Source organism: Homo sapiens, chromosome 14 (genome assembly GCF_000001405.40).
Source record: "Homo sapiens chromosome 14, GRCh38.p14 Primary Assembly".
Classification (NCBI taxonomy): domain Eukaryota; kingdom Metazoa; phylum Chordata; class Mammalia; order Primates; family Hominidae; genus Homo; species Homo sapiens.
In genome coordinates, this window is record NC_000014.9 from 62,737,001 (window position 1) to 62,757,124 (window position 20,124).

Genomic DNA, 20,124 nt, shown 5'->3' on the forward strand with positions numbered 1-20,124 from the left:
CTGCTCATATCCCTTGGATATCCATAAGCCTTGCTCCTTATCTTCTTTAAGTCTTTGTTCAAGCAACAGTTTTTTAATGAGGTCTAATTATCCTACATACAATTGCAACCCTCCACAAATGCTTGAACCTTCTTTCCTGATTCATTTTCCTCCATTGCTCTCATTATCTTCAAATAGATTATACATTTTACTTATTTGTTTTTCTCCCAAACACAAATTTAATCTCAACAAGGACTTCATTTTTTGTTGGCTTTGTTTACTGATGCACCCTAAATACCTAGAACATATAGCATTTGGCACATGAAAGTGCACAAGGCATATCTATTGCATGAATAGGTTATATCTTGCACCTTAGAGGGAGCACAAAATAGTAGCAGAATGAATACTGACTACCACTGGAGTCATAATTCCTGGGTTCTATACCCATTGCCTCACTTACCTGGCATAAGTGGCCTTAGGTAAGTAGAGTCTCAGTCTGTTTATTCGTCTGTTAAAATGAGAAGAAATCCAGCCTACCTCACAGCATTCTCCTGAGGATCACCTTGGATGATGCATATAAAAGTGCATCTGAATCTCTACAGTGTTATATAAATATGAGCTATTTTAAAAATAAATCTACTCAGAGTTTTATAGAATGAAAGTGATTCTGTATATTAAGAGGTAAGTAATAAAACATGATATTCTTAATTATTGAGAAGTCAGGCTTCCTGAAAATAGGCTCTAAAAAAGAAAAAGTAAAAGAAATCCCAGTCGAGTACCACTTTAAAATGTCTAAAAACAGAAGCTATGAAATGCAACATTCATTATTAACAGCTATTACTTGCTAAGACTTACTAAAAATACTTTTATATATAACAAAATAGAGTAGTCTCTCCTTATCCACTGGGGACAATTCCAAGGCCCCCAGTGGATGCCCAAAACTGCAGACAGTCTGAACCATATACATTTTTCCTATACCCGCCTACCTATGATAAAGTTTAATTCATAAATTGGACACAGTAAGAGATTAAAAACAATTAATCATAACATAAAACAATTATAATAACACTCCGGCATCACCACTCTTGCACTTTGGGGCCATTATTAAATAAAATAAAGATCATTTGAACACAAGCACTGTGATACCATGACAGTCAATCTGATGACTGAGACGGCTACTAAATGGCTAATGTGCAGACAGTGTACACAGTAGGTATATGCCAGATGAAGAGATGATTCCTATCCTCAGTGGGATGGAGCTGGACTGCTTCAGATTTCATCACTTCTCAGAACAACCCACAATTTAAAACATACAAAATGTTTTTTTTCTAGAATTTTACATTTAACATTTTCAGATTGCAGTTGACTGTGGGTAGCTGAAACCACAGAAAGGGAAACTGCAGATAAGGGAGGACAACCGAATTCGAAAGAACTCAGTGCAGTTAAGCTTTCTGGGTGCCTCAAAGAGCTCATTATGAGTGAATGAGACTCAATATTACTGGCTGAAAGTGTATCATCTCATATAAATAATAACAAAACATTTTAAAATGTCATACAATGATTTCTTTAATTTACCTTGACCATTATGATTTACATATGCTAATAAACTGCCAAGTAAGGATTCCATGGATAATATGTAGTTTGTGTTTATATCGCTATCAGATCCTACAATCATACTTAGGGCATCTGATATCAACTCGATATTCATCAAACAGTTAAACAAGAAGCATTTCCTTAAGTACCATCAGGCACTGTGCCTAATGGAGGGTGCAGTGATTAATAAAACATGTCTCTTGTTTATAGCAGTTCGCAATCCAGTTAGAAATATACAGTCATATGCCTCAATACAAATTAGACTTTAAAAGGGCCCTTAATAAAAGGAATGCACATAGAAAGAGCATTATGGAGAAGCAAAAGATGAATTCTGAATGAGGAAATCTGGAAGTCTTTAGAGATGGTGTTACTTTAGCTGGGTCTTAAAGGACTTCAACAGGCAGAGAAAGGGGGAGGATGTAAGGGCATTCCAGACAGAGGGAATAAATTGGACAGGAGAAGTAAAGGGTTCAAGAAGAACTTAGATTTGTGGTAACTTTACCTATAATTAGATTTTAAGGTACAATATGAATATTTAAGGATCATCCCAAATATGTGAACATTAAAAATGTCAACAGTTAACATTCACTCCAATACAAATCATGCTGCCATGCCATATTCAAAGACAGTGGTATTTGGCACTTCTTATGAATTAAATCAAAATCAGTGTTAAATCACTTCTAGAGTCACACACTTTTTTGGAATCTGATAAAACTTTCAAAGCCTCTCTTAAAAGGACCCATTGTCCAATATGTGAAAATATTTAGATCTTATTTAAAAAGTTCAGTAGATTTATTTGAAGCCTACAGTTGGCTAAGGCTCTGTAGGCTAACAACCTACAGTCAAAATGACTACGCTATTTATGCGAGAAATTTTTTTTTCTTTTTTTGTGTGTTAGAGTATGTAGGCATTTTTAGAGAAGAAATTTTGAGGGCAATGCTACAGTAACATTTGAGTCATTTGAAAAACAAGAGATTATTGGTCAACATACTGGAGAATATCTAAGTTGTCTACAGAACATCAACAAATACTTTTGATATGGAGTTCAGTGACCCATCGAAACTATAAATCTCAAAGGCCTCCCAGCTTCAATCATGGTACTGTTGTACAGACCAAAACACTTGTACAAGAAAGCCCTACACAAACATTACATGCGGGCAAAAATTTATGTTCCCAGAGCTATGGCAGGGATTTGGAGTGTTACTCTTTGTCATATAAACCTGCAGGGTGCTTGAAGAACTGAAGGGAAAGTTTGCTGCATATCTCAAGGATGCCAGTAGAACATTATCTTTGATTTACAGTCGCCTTTTAATGGTATTTTATAGCTAGGCAATCAACATAAAACACAATGAAATGTAAACCTTTCAGCAAAGTAAGATGATGATTTTGGAGGGTAGGGAAATGTTTTAACATCTGAAGCAGCACTGTTAAGAATCTTTCCTCTCGACAGACAAACATAGACCATATAAATAGTTAAGCTGCTTTTCCTTCCCAGAATTCACACATTTAAACAGGTCAGGTCTGGTTAAACCAACAGAAGAAAAACAAAGGTCAAGTAGGAGTCCCTCTGTGATAGACTCATTATAGGAAGGAATAAGATATCAATGAATGTTTGTTAAACAATCATGTGAACACAATATACGGATGATGTGTATGTGGGTATTTGTGAGGGTATATTTGATTATAGAAAGATACTCTTCTTGTCATTATATGTCATCTTTTCGGTGTCCATCTTTGTTGAGTGTGTGTGCACACGCACACTTGTCTAATCTCAGGAGCTAAACAAGTGACAATCACTTCTCTGGCCTAGGTTGTCAGACAGAGGTGGCCTCATTCTAGCTATAATTTAGCCACTATTGCCCTCCTCCTGCTGTCCAGCCCCTGCCCCATTTTGCTCTCCTGCTGATTTTCTAACATTACACCTAAGCTTGCCCTTTCTTTTCACGGCACTCCGAAAAACTTCCTGAGCCATGAAGCTAGTTCAGAGAAAAACATGATATTTAAGAGACATAAGCCCAAAAGGATAACATCCCTATATTTCAACCTCATTCTGATTTTTTCCTTTATTTTTATTAAGCTTATCTTTCCATTCATATATTTTGATGAGCTACACATAAAAGATATTTAACATGGAGGTAGAAATGCAGGTTAGTGAACTCTGCATTGCACAGCTGATTATTCAGTGTCAAGAAATCACTTTTGGATAGTACTTAGTAAGAACAGAATTAATAACCACTAACATGCAAAGTCTTCTCCCTGTCTCTTTAGAGCAATACAAACTGATTAGCTTCGAGCAGCAATTTAAAATAAAGAACTCATTGGAAGCTTCTAACAGTTTCATTTCCAGCTTCCATTATTTAGTTAACTAAACTTACTTTGCTAATTTTCAGAAATGTCTTATTTTTAAGTAGAAGTCACAAACATGTGCCTTGATTTATTCTGAGTATGAAACAAAAGCAAAAATGCTTATTAATGTAAAAGATATCCCTCTCACATTTCTAAGGGCAGCATTACAATTTCAAACTATAATGACTGCTATGTAAAGAAGACTCATAATGGAGTTTTCCCAGAAAAACAAACAAGCATACTGATAAATTAAGCGGCTTGCACGTATTCCTTAAGAACTTTGCAAGGTGTTTGATGTTTCTAATGAAGGAGATTAAAAAGACGATACTATATTTTCAGATAAGGGGATAATTGGCAATACAAGGGTCTACTTAATCAATAGGCTGGTTTAGACTGGAAGAAGTCATGTTAAGGGAAATCTCGTGATATTGCAGGTAGAGTAACTTCTAACTCTGTGATACAGACTGCCTGTGGTTGCAACCTACCTGCACACCTAGTAGCACACTTTTAATAAACCGAATATACCAAACCAACTGTGAATCAAAATCAATAAATTATCCAGATTTTAGATTGTAAAAGGTGTTGCATCTTTACTGGGATCTTGCAGTGGCTGACGTTTGGTCCCCTCCCCCAACCCAATGATAACATAAAGCATGGAAAGGAGAATCAACCCTTATGAGTGATATTTGCAGCTTACTTAGGATGAACTTTTTAAAGTTTATTGCCACAGAGAGAGAAAGAGTGAGGAAGAAATTTTGGCTAGTAAAAGTTGATATTATTTTCTATAAATTTCCTACCTATGTAATCATTCTTTCCTGAAAATACACAGTAATGGTTTTGTTTCCTGCTTTTATTTTACGGTAGCCTCTACATTTGTGTTTTAAAATAAATCTCTGCAAAGAAAGAATAGCATTAGTGTTTTAAATGAAAAGCATTATAAATTGTTAGTTCTGCCAAAATTGCCCATGAGTTTTCTGTATCTAAAGACAATGTAATATAAGAAAAGATTACTGGTATCAAAGTAAAACCCTGTGGTTTAAATTCTGTTTCTGCTGCTTATCAGGGTTACAATCTTGATGATCCACTTAGCCTCTGTGAATCTCAGGTTTTTGGCTATAAAATTGAACAGTAATATCTTCCTCAAAGGCCTGGAAGGAGGAAATGAAATATCATCTGGAAACTGGTGGCATGAGGAGAGTACAACATATTTTAGAAGCTTCGGATAACTAACGTCCTAAGTAGCAAAAAAGAATAGAGTGCTCTATGCAGCATATGGTTCCACTTATTTTAGATTTTTTACAGATCTTAGTTTCTCTTAGGTTTTATTATTAGACTTCTTTAATAAAAACAAATTAACATAATTAAATTTTAATAGGTAAAAATCCTAAATAAGGCATGAATAAAAATAATTCAGTTAAACTTTCATAACAACCAAAAGCAAAACAAAACCAAAAGATTTCATAGATTGATTCTATGTCGATACCCCCAGGTGATTCTTGTGTACAGCTTTGGAATCACTGACCTAGAACAGAGGTTTTCAATCCTGGCGCACATTAGAATTACCCAGAGAACTTAGAAAAAGAGATATCTATATACCCTGTCCCAAACTAATTTAAATTAGAATCTCTAGGGCTGAGGCCCATTGTATTTTATTCAAAGTTCCCCAGGTGAGTCTAAACTACAGCCTTAGTGGAAAACCATCGCTTTAAACACGTCTTTAACATCATATACATTTATTTACACTTCTAAAGATTATACAATCTCCAGTGATAAAATTCCAGGCAAAGTGATTATGACATGAAGGACTGCAGGCAACATGGAGGAGATGCCATGGCGCCATTAATTTGGCAGAAGGCCCTTAGATCAAACTATAGAGAAAAGTTAGGATCATGGACTACCTACATCAGAATCCCTTGGAAAGCTTATTCAAGTTGCAGGTTTCTGGGCCTCACTTCAGAGATACTGAATCGTAGTGACCTGGTACCGGGGCTTAGGATTCACTCTGCATGATTCATGTACACAGCAGTTGGAAAGCCACTGCCCCAAAAGCAACTGCCTTCCCTTAAAATAGTACAGAAGATGATGACCAGTTTTGGTCCCTCTCTATTCCCCATGGAGAAGAGACAGAGAAAATGGCTCAACTACAAGTGAGTTTTCCCGTCATTTTGCCTGGCATTTTACCCCTGGAGATTGTGTAATATTTAGAAGTGCAAATAAATGTGTGTGATATTAAAGATACATGTATAAAGCGATGGTTTTCCGCTAAGACTCTAGTTTAGACTCACCTGGGGAGCTGTGAATAAAAGTATAATGGGCCTCACCCCTAGAGATTCTAATTTAAATTAGTTTGGGACAGGGTATATAGATATCTCTTTTTCTAAGTTCCCTGGGTAATTCTAATGTGCAGCCAGGGTTGAAAACCACTGTTCTAGGTCAGTGATTCCAAAGCTGTGCACAAGAATCACCTGGGGGTATCGACGTAGAATAAATCTATGAAATCTTTTGGTTTTGTTTTGCTTTTGGTTGTTATGAAAGTTTAACTGAATTATTTTTATTCTTGCCTTATTTAGGATTTTTACCTATTAAAATTTAATTATGTTAACTTGTTTTTATTAAAGAAGTCTAACAACAGAACTGAAAAGAAATTAAGATCTTTAAAAAATCTAATACGGGAAAGCATTTCCTGCCTCATTTGTGTAGGTAAAGGTCAGAAATCTGCATCAAAACATAAACTCTCTTTTATATACAAACCCCCTGCTGGGCCTCACAGCTGAGGCCAGCAAGGTCCTTTACCACCATATTCACTGTGTTGCCTATATCCACAAAGTGTCATATCTCTGGATCTGTTCTACCCGACTCCACCCCCAATCTGGGCAGTTTCATTCTCTAGGGACTGTGGAAGTCCCAGAAATTTGCTGAATGACAAGAAAGCTCTCTTAGCAAGGAAATGAAAAAGAAAGCTCTCTTAGCAAGGAAGAGAAAGCTGGTTCCTTAAATAAAGGAACAAGAAATAAACAGCCAAGTTTTTGAAACTACCATTCAAAGATTTACCTCTATTTTAATTGCTTTATCATCTATCAGCTTTGAACTCTTACAACTTCAGGGAACTAAAGAGAAAAGTAAGAGTATTGAAAGGCTTTATTAGTAAAGACAATCCTGCTTATTAACTTCAGATTTGTATGACTACTGATATTTTAAAAATACCTTTGCTATCACCTCACCTACTTCACCCAATAATTCCTTGAGCTCTACGGGATGTATTATATATAAGAGAAAAATTAATAAACTTTTCAAAGACTTTAGTTCCAGGACTACTACTTTGTCACTTAATATTGAGGGATTATAGCACATTATCTAACTCCTCAGGTTCTTGGATTTTTCATTTATAAAATGGAGACAATGTTATATTCTCTGAAGGACATGTAAGATACTGCATTTTAAACAGATTTCTAAACTGTAAGAGCTTCAGAAGTGTCAGATATTATAATTATTCTCATTTAAAAACGACCAAATTGAAGCACAAGAGATTAAGGTGGGCACTCAAATTAAGAGTTACTTCCATCATATCAGTTATTTCCATACCATCATAGTCTCAAAATACTGCTCAATGGACTTTCTGACAACAAATCAAATGTAAAAACATTGAGCACCTATTATGATTTGGGATACTAAATAAAGACAAAAAGAACTGTTCATATCTTGAGCATGAATTACGAAGAGAAGTATAACCACATAAGTTTGCATATTATAGATTCGTAAGTAGATAAACTAAATGAAAATGGAGTGTCTCAGCACCTGACACCACATTTCACACTACGGTCAGAAACCATGATTGTTCATTCACCAAACCGATCATTCAGAGGGTTCTGGGAAAACCTCTTCTGACTTGAAATAGCTAAAACAGCAGGAATTTTTTTACACACCACATGCCTCTTTCTAAGGGTTTGAAAAATCAGAATCCTTGGGAAAAAATCAAGTTAAATATCATAGTTTTCAGAATACCTTCCAATCTGAAGGACTGTCTGGCATGAGGAGGAGTGAAGGGAGAAAGAAGGAAGTTGGGAGAAATAACCAGGGAGATTATAAAGGGTACATCCAGACTGCAATTCAGACGGTGCCCTCTACATTTTGCTTTGACCTGGAGTCTAGCAGAGGATGCTCTTGACCACCTCATTTCCTGCAGGATCCTGACACTGCACAAATTGCCAGCAAGAGTGAAGGTCAACTCTCCAGGCTTTTAACGCACAAAAGTTATCTTGTGCAGCAAATAAATTCATGGCTGGTTACTCAGTTTGCTTGTGTAGATCAGAAGCTCATGAAGCAGAAAATCTCTGAAAGTCATTAGACCCCTATGGTCAGGCCTGTGTTATCCTAAACATAGTGGCAGCCATGTCAATTCCATACACTAGCACACTGTCCTCTAACAATGAGAGGTTATCATCCTAGAAAAGAAAACCTTAAACTAAATCAGTATTAAGTGGAGTCTAACTTTCAACAAAAACTGGAATTTGTCAGAATAACATGGTATGAAATGTTCAAAAACACTAAATTTATCAACTCTGTCAACAAGTATAATATAGACAGAAACTTTCACAGAGCCAATCACATATATTTTATTCAATTTTCTTTAAACAATCCCTGGAATAAGGACTTTGGTCAGAAGCCAGGGCCAGAGAGACTCCAAACATCATGTCTGTAAGGGGTTGGGAAAGGAGTGACCTCTCTGGTTGGTGAGGTTGGAAGAATAAACAGCCTAGCCACTTCCTCTCCCCTTTTGAAGCCATCCTGCCTGGAGGGATGATGCATTCCATTGCAACTGTCTAATGAGGAGTTATTCAGCCATACCTGTGCCTGCATGGTAAGTTTGCCTAATTCAGGGCTAAAATATCAGGAGGACCACTTGATACAGCCCTGAAACCATCTCCACTAATCAGCTTTCTCAGTAATAACAGTCACATTTTGATATTTCGATTGGTTCCTGTGACATGGACATAAGGATTCTGTATCTTGGACCCTTCAAGCCCTACAGCTTCCTAAAGGATGTCAGGCAGAGTCAACAGAAGAGCGGGTTTCTGAGCACCACAAAGCTGTGTGGAGAACAAAATGGGGGAAGTGGCGACAGAGGCAAGACTAGAAGTTTCTAGGAAGTGGGAGAAAAGAAGTGTGAATTCATCAAATGGAAATTTTACAATTTTCTCACGACCTGGCTCTGCCACACACTTTCATGGCATTCACTTCTCTTCAACAAATTAAACAATTCTAGCCTCTTTCACCTTTTCCTAGAAATATTATTTATGTTAGAGGAATATAAATCCATGTAATATCTGTATTTGGTCCTCTTGCAAATACAAGGCATGCAAATGTTGATTCACCAACCTGCCAAATATATTCAAAACATTACAGTACAAAATACTACTCTAGATGCTATGATTACATTATTCACATGCTTTGCCCTCAAGTTGCACACCAAAAATAAAAAGAACAATGCACAAAAAAGAATTATAATAAAACATTTAATTAACAAGCTCAAGAAACTACTTCTCTAAGTTTGCTGAAGCTTTGAGGCAAAAATACCTCGTGCCCAGATGGCACAGGTGCCAATCAGGGGGCACTTTAGGGCTGTTTCCATTAGCAGGCCAGCCATCTATCCTGGAAAGAATATCACTGAGCTCTGTTTTCGGCTGGTGACTTTCTCTAATTCATGAGCTGCTCTTTTAAAATGACAGTTCTCTCTTCCTGTGTTTCTTTTAATTAATAACCCTGTGGAGTATTTTTCATTAAAAATGAATTTTACCTTTACTATGAAATGTCAAACATGAATAAAATGAGCAACTTTTCTTGAACGGAATATTATTTTAAAAAGGTATCAGTTCACCTTTTCCTTGACAAGTCTGACTAGTGGAATGAGCTTGTTCAAGCAATATTTCTCTTTCTTCCCCTATCAGTGGCCTCTCTTTATTATGTTCTTTCACAAACAGATAAATTGAAGCAAATAGTGTTTTTAGAAAAATTAAACTTCAAACACGCTATCATGTTAAGATCAAAATTTTATGAAATCAAAATGTAGTTGCCTTCTACTTCTAAAAGTGCAATTCAAATTTAGTTTGAGGCTGTAAATAAAAAAGCAAACTCAGGCCGGACGCGGCGGCTCATGCCTGTAATCCCAGCACTTCGGGAACCCGAGGCGGGTGGATCACCTGAGGTCAGGAGTTCAAGACCAGCCTGGCCAACATGGTGAAGACCCATCTCTACTAAAAATACAAAAAATCAGCTGGGCGTGGTGGTGCCCACCTGTAATCCCAGCTACTCAGGAGGCCAAGGCAGAAGAATCGCTTGAATTCGGTAGGTAGAGATTGCAGTGAGCTGAGATTGTGCCATTGCACTCCAGCCTGGGCAACAAGAGTGAAACTTTGTCTCAAAAGAAAAAAAAAAAAGCAAACTCAGCTCTTAATTTACAAAATTACTGGGTTAATACTAAGCACAGATTGGCAAAGCTCTTTGCCATTTTTCCCAATGCTTCCCCTGAGTGTCTCCCATTAACTGGAACATATTTGTATAATAACTCTATTTCTATAGCCACAAAGGCATGGTTATAAGGACAGTATCTCAGCAGATAGCAGGGTTCTCAGCCAAATGATAGATATAATTCAGGATGAGCTTAGAACCTGTAGTTAAAGTGCAAGCTTTAGGTCAAGTTAAATCAACTAATGCTAATCTCAGCACATGCAGCAAAACAGTACAGAAGTCTGTTCGTTAACCTAAATTAGAGAAACGCAATTCATGAACTAAAAGTGCCAAGACCCTGACTTAACATCACAACCCCTACCTGTTCACTTAAGATGTATCATTAGCCAAATAATTTAACAAATGTTAGGGAACACAGTTAAGATACTACTCATAACAGAGGTTATGCTGACTGTGTGGAGTTTTTAGAAAATTGGAATTAGATACTGTTTTGTGTTAATAGGAGAAAAAAAGGCATTTCCTTTGGGAAGACTCAGTATTATCTTAGGCAAGTGTAGAAGTGTTTATTTCTGCAATTTCAAGCACACTGCATTGCTGTATATGAAATTCCTTGCCACTAAACGTTATACTTAGCTTATAAGAGGGTGATTCTGGTTACAGGAAAGGGGTCCCGATCCAGACCCCAAGAGAGGGTTCTTTGATCTTGCACCAGAAAGAATTCAGGGTGAGTCCACAGTGCTAAGCAAAAGCAAGTTTATTAAGAAGTAAAGTGGTGAAAGGACAGCTACTCCATAGACAGAGTAGGACGTTCCTGAAAGTAAAAGGAGGCACGCATCCACCCTAGGTACAATGCTGGTATATATGGGGAGATATAGTCTGCTACAAGGGTTTGTGATAGAGGATTAATTTTCCTAATTACTATATTTTGCAAGAATCGATATTATTATCTTCAAAGCAAAATTAGGAATGTCTTTCTTCTTCAGATATCGGGATATCTGGACACTCCCAAGTCGGGGTCTGTTTAGTAAACATTATTAATTTGTTCCCTTAACTGTGAACATCTAGAGGCTCGGAATGCCTACCTTTCTGAAGATGCAGCCCAGCAAGTCATGGCCCCATTTTCCCAGCCCTTATTCAAGATGGAGTCGCTCTGGTTCGAATGCCCCTGACATATCTCCCTGCTTCCTTTACAAGAGGACCTTAATCCTAAGGGTTGCAGAGGGATGAAGATCCGTCTTCTGTAACTTCTTCAGGCTGAATAGGGGTGATGATATTCCTGCCTAACTATGGTGTCTTGCATTTAGGGTAGAGAGGAGCTCAGTCAGAGAGCGTTGGTATGGCGAAGGTCGTTCATAACTGCGAGTTCCGACAAAAAAAATCTTCCAATATCTGGAAGATTAATAAGTGTCCAATTTAAGAAAGTGTTGAATGAACTTGTCTTGTATTCCTGCACAAAGAGTACAACTGCAATATATCCCACAAAAGCAAAGTAAAATAAGTAAAATCATTCCCAAGTAAACTAAACAGAAAGGCTTTCCAAGAACTGGGCAGCTGTTGGAACCAAGCCGATATAGGGTCAACCAAGCCGATAGCGTATCAATGGCAGAAATATGAGTGTCTAAAGCTTTCATAGCTTGGGTGATATTATTTGAATAGTCTGGAACATACACACAGCACTCGGCTTTGATCAAAGCACAAGTTCTCCCTCAAGCTGCTGTTAAAATGTCCACATACCCAACAGTTTGGTTATGTAGAGAGGCTAAAGTCTGTGCCCACTCAGTAAATAAGTTACTCTCTGCCTGATTCCAACTTATATTCCAAAGTAGAATGCCAATCCATATCTTTAGGTTACCCATCCCTTTCATTTCTTCTGAACAGGAGTCGAAGGTCACTGATTGGCTCACAGGAATAAACAAGATCAGTCTCTTGTGTTCCATTGGCCTGTGGGACTTCATAAGAAATGAGTTTAATTCCAGATAAGCAGACCCACCTGTTTATTCCCAGAAGTTTAATGGCAATTGGGGTACTAAGGAGAACTTGATAGGGTCACCTCCATTTTGAGGAAAGTTGACCTGCTGGGGATCCTTCCTTCCAAGTTTTTAATAGGACCCAGTCTCCCAGCTGTGTTGTAACAAGATTCTCTTCCTTAGGAGGGGAAGGGAGTCTTTGATTTCCATATTCAAGAAGTGTGTTTTGCACTTGTCCCAAGTTGATCACATAACTCTGTAGCTTGAAAGTATCTATGTCTATTAGGAGGTCTGTAGTTAAGAAAGGACTTTCATCCATTATTTCAAAAGGGCTGAGCTGCAGATTTCCCTTAGGGGCCACTCGAACCCTTAATAAGGCTACAGGTAATAAAGACAGCCAGGTTTCTGATGTCTCTTGGCACCGTTTAGCAAGAGTCCTCTTTAGAGTTTGATTGGCTCTTTCCACTTTCCCCAAGACTGTGACCTCCATGCCAAGGGAAGGCGGTCCTGAATTCCTAAGGCTGAAGATATGTTTTGGGTAATTGTCGCTGTGAAAGATGGGCCATTATTGTTCTGTAAGCGCTTAGGCAGCCCAAATTTAGGAATTATTTCCTTTAGTAGCTTAGAAACCTCAATTGCCTTTTCAGACCAGGTAGGAAAAGCCTTGATCCAACCCCAACTGGTAAAGGTGTCAATGAACACTAATAAATATGTAAATATTTTACATGGGGGCATCTGGGTATAGTCTGTTTGCCAATCTTCACCAGGGTATGCTCCCCTGTGCTGAACAGGCCTTACTAGAGGAGGAGGTGAAGACTGGTTATTTGGGTTATTCCAGGCACATAGTTCACAGGCCCTAGTTACCGGCTTTACTGTTTTAAGTAAGCCTTTACGTATAAAAAGCTTTTTTCCTATAAAAAGACATTAAGTGAAACAGGGAAGCTCTTCCCAAATGAGTAGAGTCATGCAACTACTTAACTGTTTTCCACTGATTAGCACCTGATATTAACAGTTTGCTGTCATTGACAAGCCAGCCAGAAAGCTCTTGAATTAAGCCCTGACCTTTAGCCCATTCTTGTTCCTCTTCAGTATATCTAGGGTCTGTCATTGCCGTGGCTGAGGGTACAAACCTGCCGACAAGTCCAACTGGCTCCTTTAATGCTGCTGCCTTAGCAGCTGTATCTGCAAAGGAGTCTCCCTTAGCCACATTAGAGTCTCCTTTTTGACGTCCTCTGCAATGGATTACAGCTACTTCCTTGGGCAGCAAAACAGCATCTAATAGATTTAGAATTTCTAAGTGATGTTTTACAGGAGAACCCTTAGCAGCTCAGAGTCCCTGTTCCTTCTAGATAGCAGCAAGAGCATGAAGTACCAGAAAGGCATACTTAGAATCAGTGTAAATGTTAACTCTTAAATCTTTTCTTAATTGCAGGGCTCTAATAAGAGCTATTAATTCTGCCTTTTGAGCTGAGGTAGAAGCTGGTAAGGCCTGAGATTCAATTACCTCATGTTAACTGACAACAGCATACCCAGCTTTCCTGTTTCCCTGGTGCACAAAGCTACTTCTATCTGTAAACCATTCTACCTCAGGATTATCTAGAGGCTCATCCTTTAAATCCAGACGGCTGGAGTAAACTTGCTCCATAACTTGTATATAAGAATGATCTAGGGTGCCTGTGGGTTTAGGCAAATAGGTAGCTGGATTCAAAGTTTGGCATACTTTAAGTGTTATATAAGGAGCATCTAGCAACAAAGCCTGATATTTATTCACAGAAAAAGAGAAGGAGCAATTTCTGTCTGTTGAGATTTCCAAAAGATACTACTGTCTGCAGCTAACAAATCCCTTCCTAACAAGGGGTGGGCCATTCAAGAGAAAACCAAAGTCCTTGAAGAGCAGCTTAAAGGATAGGTAAAATGACATCTATGGGCTTTTCCATCTATTCCCCTGACCATACAGTTTTGGGGTAAGAGAGGCCCATTATAATGGGTCAAAACAGAATAAGCACTCCAGAAGGAGGTTAATATTCTTACCTGCCATGTCATTGGTTACCCAAGGCTCCTCTAGAGATATGCCTAGTTGTCCAATGGGAGCTGTGGTGGAAGATCTCAGGCCCCATCACTCTTGGACTTGCCTGGCTATTTCGGCCATCATTGGTTCAGATGCCAGTAGCTCCCTTCTAAGCACTGGGCAATCCCTCTTCCATGGCCAGTTTTCTAACAGTGTGCCCAAGGCATGAATTTCTTATAATTCATGCCCAAGGCATGGTGACTCAGACACCCAGATTTGGCTTTCCCACCTTTCAGCTTCCCTTGTTCAGGCCAAGAGCCAGGAGGGCAGCCCCATGTGGGGGATGAGCTTAAGGATAGAGCCAAGAGCTGCACCTTGTGGGAAGTCCTTCTTGTTCTTTCTGCCTCCTCTGCTTTGTCCCTGTTATTAAAAACTAAAATGCCATATACAAGAGCTGTTCCATAGAAGTATGGGGACCCATAGCTGCTTTTTATAGCTTCCTATGGATATCAGGGGAAGACTGGGTTATAAAATGTACTCCCAAAAGGGTCTGTCCTTCTCTTGAGGTAGGATCAGTGTTAGTATATTTCCTGATGGCCTCAACTAAACGCCCTTGAAATAAAGCTGGATTCACATCTTTGCCCTGAGAAACTTTCTTAACCTTCTCATAGTTAACAGGCTTTTGCATACATTCCTTCATCCCTTCCAACCAACAAGTGACCACATAATCTCTCCTCCCCAAGTCCTGATTGCCCCTTTGATAGTTCCACTTTGGGTCTTGATCTGGAACTGCAATACCTCTTGCCTGATAGTGTATATTATGGTTTGGGTTGTGAGCCAATACCTCATCTGCATGGGTCCTAGCTGTCCCCAAAATGTGTTGTTTCTCTTCCACTGTACAACACAGAGACAACAAAACATGCAGATCCTGCCAAGGAAAGACCCCTTCTGCTTGAGAAGAGGAGAGAAAAGAATGAGTGAGACTTTATTTTGCAGCTTATGTACCAGCTTGAACGCAGTGGGGAAGAGCATCAAGTGGGCTCTTGGGGTCCCAGATTGCAGGCTTTGGTTATTGGATGACATTTCTGAACCTATCCTGACCCAGAGGGAATCCTACTGTCCTGTCCTGAAGGATGAGTTCTGGGCCTAGCAGCATTCACCACAAGCTGAATGAAGAAACCTTGGGCCTTAAGAAAACATTGGAGGTACCCTGGTAGTACTTCCATAAGCATTAAGACCATCCAAGAAAACAAGACTAATATGGTTTGGCTCTGTGTCCCCACCCAAATCTTATCTCAAATTGTAAACCCCAAGTGTCAATGGAGGGACCTGGTGGGAGGTGATTGGATTATGGGGGCAGTTTCCCCCATGCTGTTCTCATGATGGTGAGTGACTTCCCACAAGATCTGATGGTTTAAAAGTGTCTGGCAGTTCCCCCTCCCTCTCTCTCCTGCCACCTTGTGAAGAAGGTGCTTGTTTTCCCTTTGCCTTCCACCATGATTGTAAGTTTCCTGAGGCCTTCCCAGTCATGCAGAACTATGAGTCAAATAAACCTCTTTTGTTTATAAATTACCCAGTCTCAGATAGTATCTTTATAGCAGTGTGAAAACAGACTAATACAATGACTTCACCAAACAAACTGAACAAGAAACCAGGCACCAATCCCAGAGAGACAGAGATATGTCACCGTTCAGAAGCAGAATTCAAAATAGCTGCTTTGAGGAAACTCAAAGAAATTCAAGATAACACATAGAAAGAATTCAGAATTCTATCAGATAAATTTAACAGAGAAATTTAAAAAATTAAAAAGAATCAAACAGAAATTCTGGTGTTGAAAAATGCAAATGACATACTGATGAATGCATCACAGTCTCTTAATAGCAGAATTGATCAAGCATGAGAAACAACTAGTGAGCTTAAAGACAGGCTATTTGAAAATAGACAGAAGAGAAAAAAGAAGAAAAAAGAAGAAAACATGACTAAAGTTCTGGAAAATAGCCTCAAAACGGCAAATCTAAGAGTTACTGGTCTTAAAGAGAAGGTAGAGAGACAGAGGAATAGAAAATTTAAAGGGATAATAACAGAGAACTTCCAAACATAGACAAAGATACCAATATTCAAGTACAAGAAGGTTATAGAACACAAAGCAGATTTAACCCAAAGAAAACTACCTCAATGCATTTAATAATCAAACTCCCACAGGCCAAGGGTAAAGAAAGGTTCCTAAAAGCAGGAGGAGAAAAGAAACAAATAACATACAGTGGAGCTCCAATACATATGGCAGCAGACTTTTCAGTGTAAATCTTACAGGCCAGGAGAGAGTGGCATAATATATTCAAAGTACTAAAGAAAAAAACCCTTTTACCCTAGAATAGTTATCTGGCAAAGATATCCTTCAAACATACAGGAAAGATAAAGACTTTCCTAGACAAGGGAAGCTGAGGGTTTTCATAAATACCATATCTGTCCTACAAGAAATGCTAAAGGTAGTTCTTCAATCTGAAAGAATAGGACATTAATGAGCAATAAGAAATCATCTGAAGGTACAAAACTTACTAGTAATAGTAAGTACACAGAAAAATATAGAATATAATAACATTGCAATTGTGCTGTGTAAACTACTCATATCTTAAATAGAAAGATGAAAGCATGAAACATTCTAAAAAGCTACAACAACTTTTCAAGACATAGACAGTACAATAATATATAAAATAGAAACAACAAAAAGTTAAAAAGCACAGAGATGCAGTTAAAATATAGAGTTTTTATTAGTTCTCTTTGGCTTATCTGTTTGTTTGCAATCAGTATTAATTTGTCATCAGCTTAAAATAATTGGTTATAATATATTATTCGCAAGCTTCATGGTAACCTCAAATCTAAAAACATTCAGCAGATACAAAACAAATAAAAAGCAAGAAATTAAAACATAACATCAGAAAAAAATCACCTATACTAAAAGAAAGACAGGAAGGAAGTAAAGAAGGAAGACAAACCAGAAAACACATAACAAAAAGGCAGAAGTAAGTCCTTACTTATCAATACAACATTAAATGTACATGGAATAAACTCATCAGTCAGAAGACGTAGAGTGGCTGAAGGGATGATTAAAAAAAAAAACAAGATCCAATGATCTGTTGCCTATAAGAAACATATTTCACCTATAAAGCACACACAGACTAAAAATAAGGGATAGAAAATGGTATTTCATACAAATGGAAAATAAAAAAAATAGAGCCAGGAATGCTGGCTCATGCCTATAATCCTAGCACTTTGGGAGGCTGAGGTGGGCAGATCACTTATGGTCAGGAGTTCACGACCAGCCCAGTCAACATGCAAAATCCCATCTCTACTAAAAATACAAAAAAAAATAGTCAAGCATGGGGGTGTGTGGCTTTAGTACCAGCTGCTTGGGAGGCCAAGGTGGGAAAATTGCTTGAACCCAGGAGACAGAGGTTGCAGTGAGCTGAAATTGCTCCACTGCGCTCCAGCCTGGGTGACAAAGCAAGTCTCTGTCTAAAAATAAAATAAAGTAAAATAAAATAAAATAAAATAAAATAGAAATAGCTATACTTACACAAAATAGACTTCAAGACAAAAACTATATAAAGAGACAAAGAAGGTTTATAAGTGCCTACATCAAAAAAGAAGGCAAGCTTCCCATAAACAACCTAATGATGCATACTGAAGAACTAGAAAAGCAAGAGAAAACAAAACCAAAATTTAGTGGATGAAAAGAATAATAAACATCACAGCAGAAATAAATAAAATTGAAACAAAACAATTCAACAAATCAATGAAATAAAAAGTTGGCTATTTATGATGATAAACAAAATTGACAAATATAAAAAAGAGAGAACACCCAAATAAATAAAATCAGAGATGAAAAAGGATAAAGTATAACCAATACAGCAGAAATTCAAAGAATCATTAGAGGCTACTGAGAACAACTACATACCAATAGATTGGAAAACCTAGAAGAAATAGATAAATGTCTAGACACATACGACCTGCAAATACATTAAACCATAAAGAAATCCAAAACTTGATAGACCAACAAGAAGTAATTAGAAGCAGTAACTAAAAAGTCTCCCAGCAAAAAACAGCTGGGACACAATGGCTTCACAGTTGAATTTTATTAAACATTTAAAGAACTAATACCAATCCTATTTAAACTATTCTTAAAAATAGAGGCAGAAGGAATCCTTCCAAACTCATTCTATGAGCACAATATTATTACTCTGATACCAAAACCAAACAAAGATGCATCGAAAAAAGAAAAAGGAAGGAAGGAAGCAAGCGAGCAAACTACAGGACAGTATCTCTGATGAACACTGATGTAAAAACCTTCAACAAAATACTAGCAAGAATAATTCAACAACACATTTAAAAGTCCATTCATCATGACCAAGTGGGATTTATCCCAGGGATCTGAGGATGGTTCAACATTTGCAAATCAATCAGTGTGATAAATCATACCAACACAATGAAGGAAAAAAAATTACATGATCATTTCAATTGATGCTGAAAATGCATTGGATAAAATTCAACATCCCTTCATGACAACAACCCTCAAAAAATTGGGCATAGAAGGAATACATGTCAACATAATAAAAACCATATATTATAGATCCACAGCTAGTACTATACCAAATGGGGAAAAACTGAAAGCCTTTCCTCTAAGGAAAAAAAAAACAAAACCTAGACTCCACCAAAAAACTATTAGAACTGAAAAACACATTCAGTAAAGTTCTAAGATACAAAATCAACATGTAAAAATCAGTAGCATTTTTATATGCCAACGGCAAACAATCTGAAAAAGAAATTAAGAAAGTAATCCTATTTATGATAACTACAAATAAAATAAAATACCTAAGAATTAAGTAGAGAATAATAAGATCACTATGATGAAGACTATAATACATCAGTGAAAGAAACTACAGAGGACAGAGAAAAGTGGAAAGATATTCCATGTTCATAGATTGGAAGAATCAATATTGTTAAAATGTCCATACTACTGAAAGCCATCTATGGATTCAACACAATGCCTAACAAAATACCAATAACATTCTTCAAAGAAATAGAAAAAAAAATCCTAAAATTCATATGGAACCACAAAAGACCCAGAAAAGCCACAGCTGTCCTAAGCAAAAGGAAGAAAACTGTAGAAATCATATTAACTGACTTCAAATTATACAACAGAGCTACTATAACTAAAACAGCATGGTACTGGGATAAAAGCAAACACAGAAACCAATGGAACAGAATAGAGAATTCAGTAACACATCCATACATCTACAGTGAGCTCATTTGTTACAAAGATGCCAAGAACATACAATGAGGAAAAGACAGTCTCTTCAATAAATTGTGCTGGGAAAACTGGATATCCATATCCAAAAGAATGAAACTAGACCCCTATCTTTCACCATATCTAAAAATTAAAACAAAATGGATTAAAGACTTAAATCTATGTCCTTAACTTATGAATGTACTGAAAGAAAACATTGTGGAAATTCTCCAGAACCTTGGACTGGGCAGATTTCTTCAGTAATACTCCATAAGCACAGGCAACCAAAGCAAAACTGGACAAATAGATCACGTTAAAAAGCTTCTTCACAGCAAAGGAAACAATAAACAAAGTGAAGAGAAAACCCACAGAATTGGAGAAAATATTTGCAAATTACACATCTAACAAGGGATTAATAACCAGAATATATAAGGAGCTCAAATAACCCCATAGGAAAAAGTCTAATAATTTGATTTAAAAAA

At 37.4% G+C, this 20,124-nt stretch overlaps 1 protein-coding gene across 2 annotated transcripts in view; it reads right to left on the bottom strand.

The window, feature by feature from the left end:
* The window catches only part of KCNH5 (potassium voltage-gated channel subfamily H member 5), a 345,995-nt gene that overhangs the window by 37,537 nt on the left and 288,334 nt on the right, over positions 1-20,124 (bottom strand). The gene's annotated exons all lie outside the window — the stretch shown is intronic.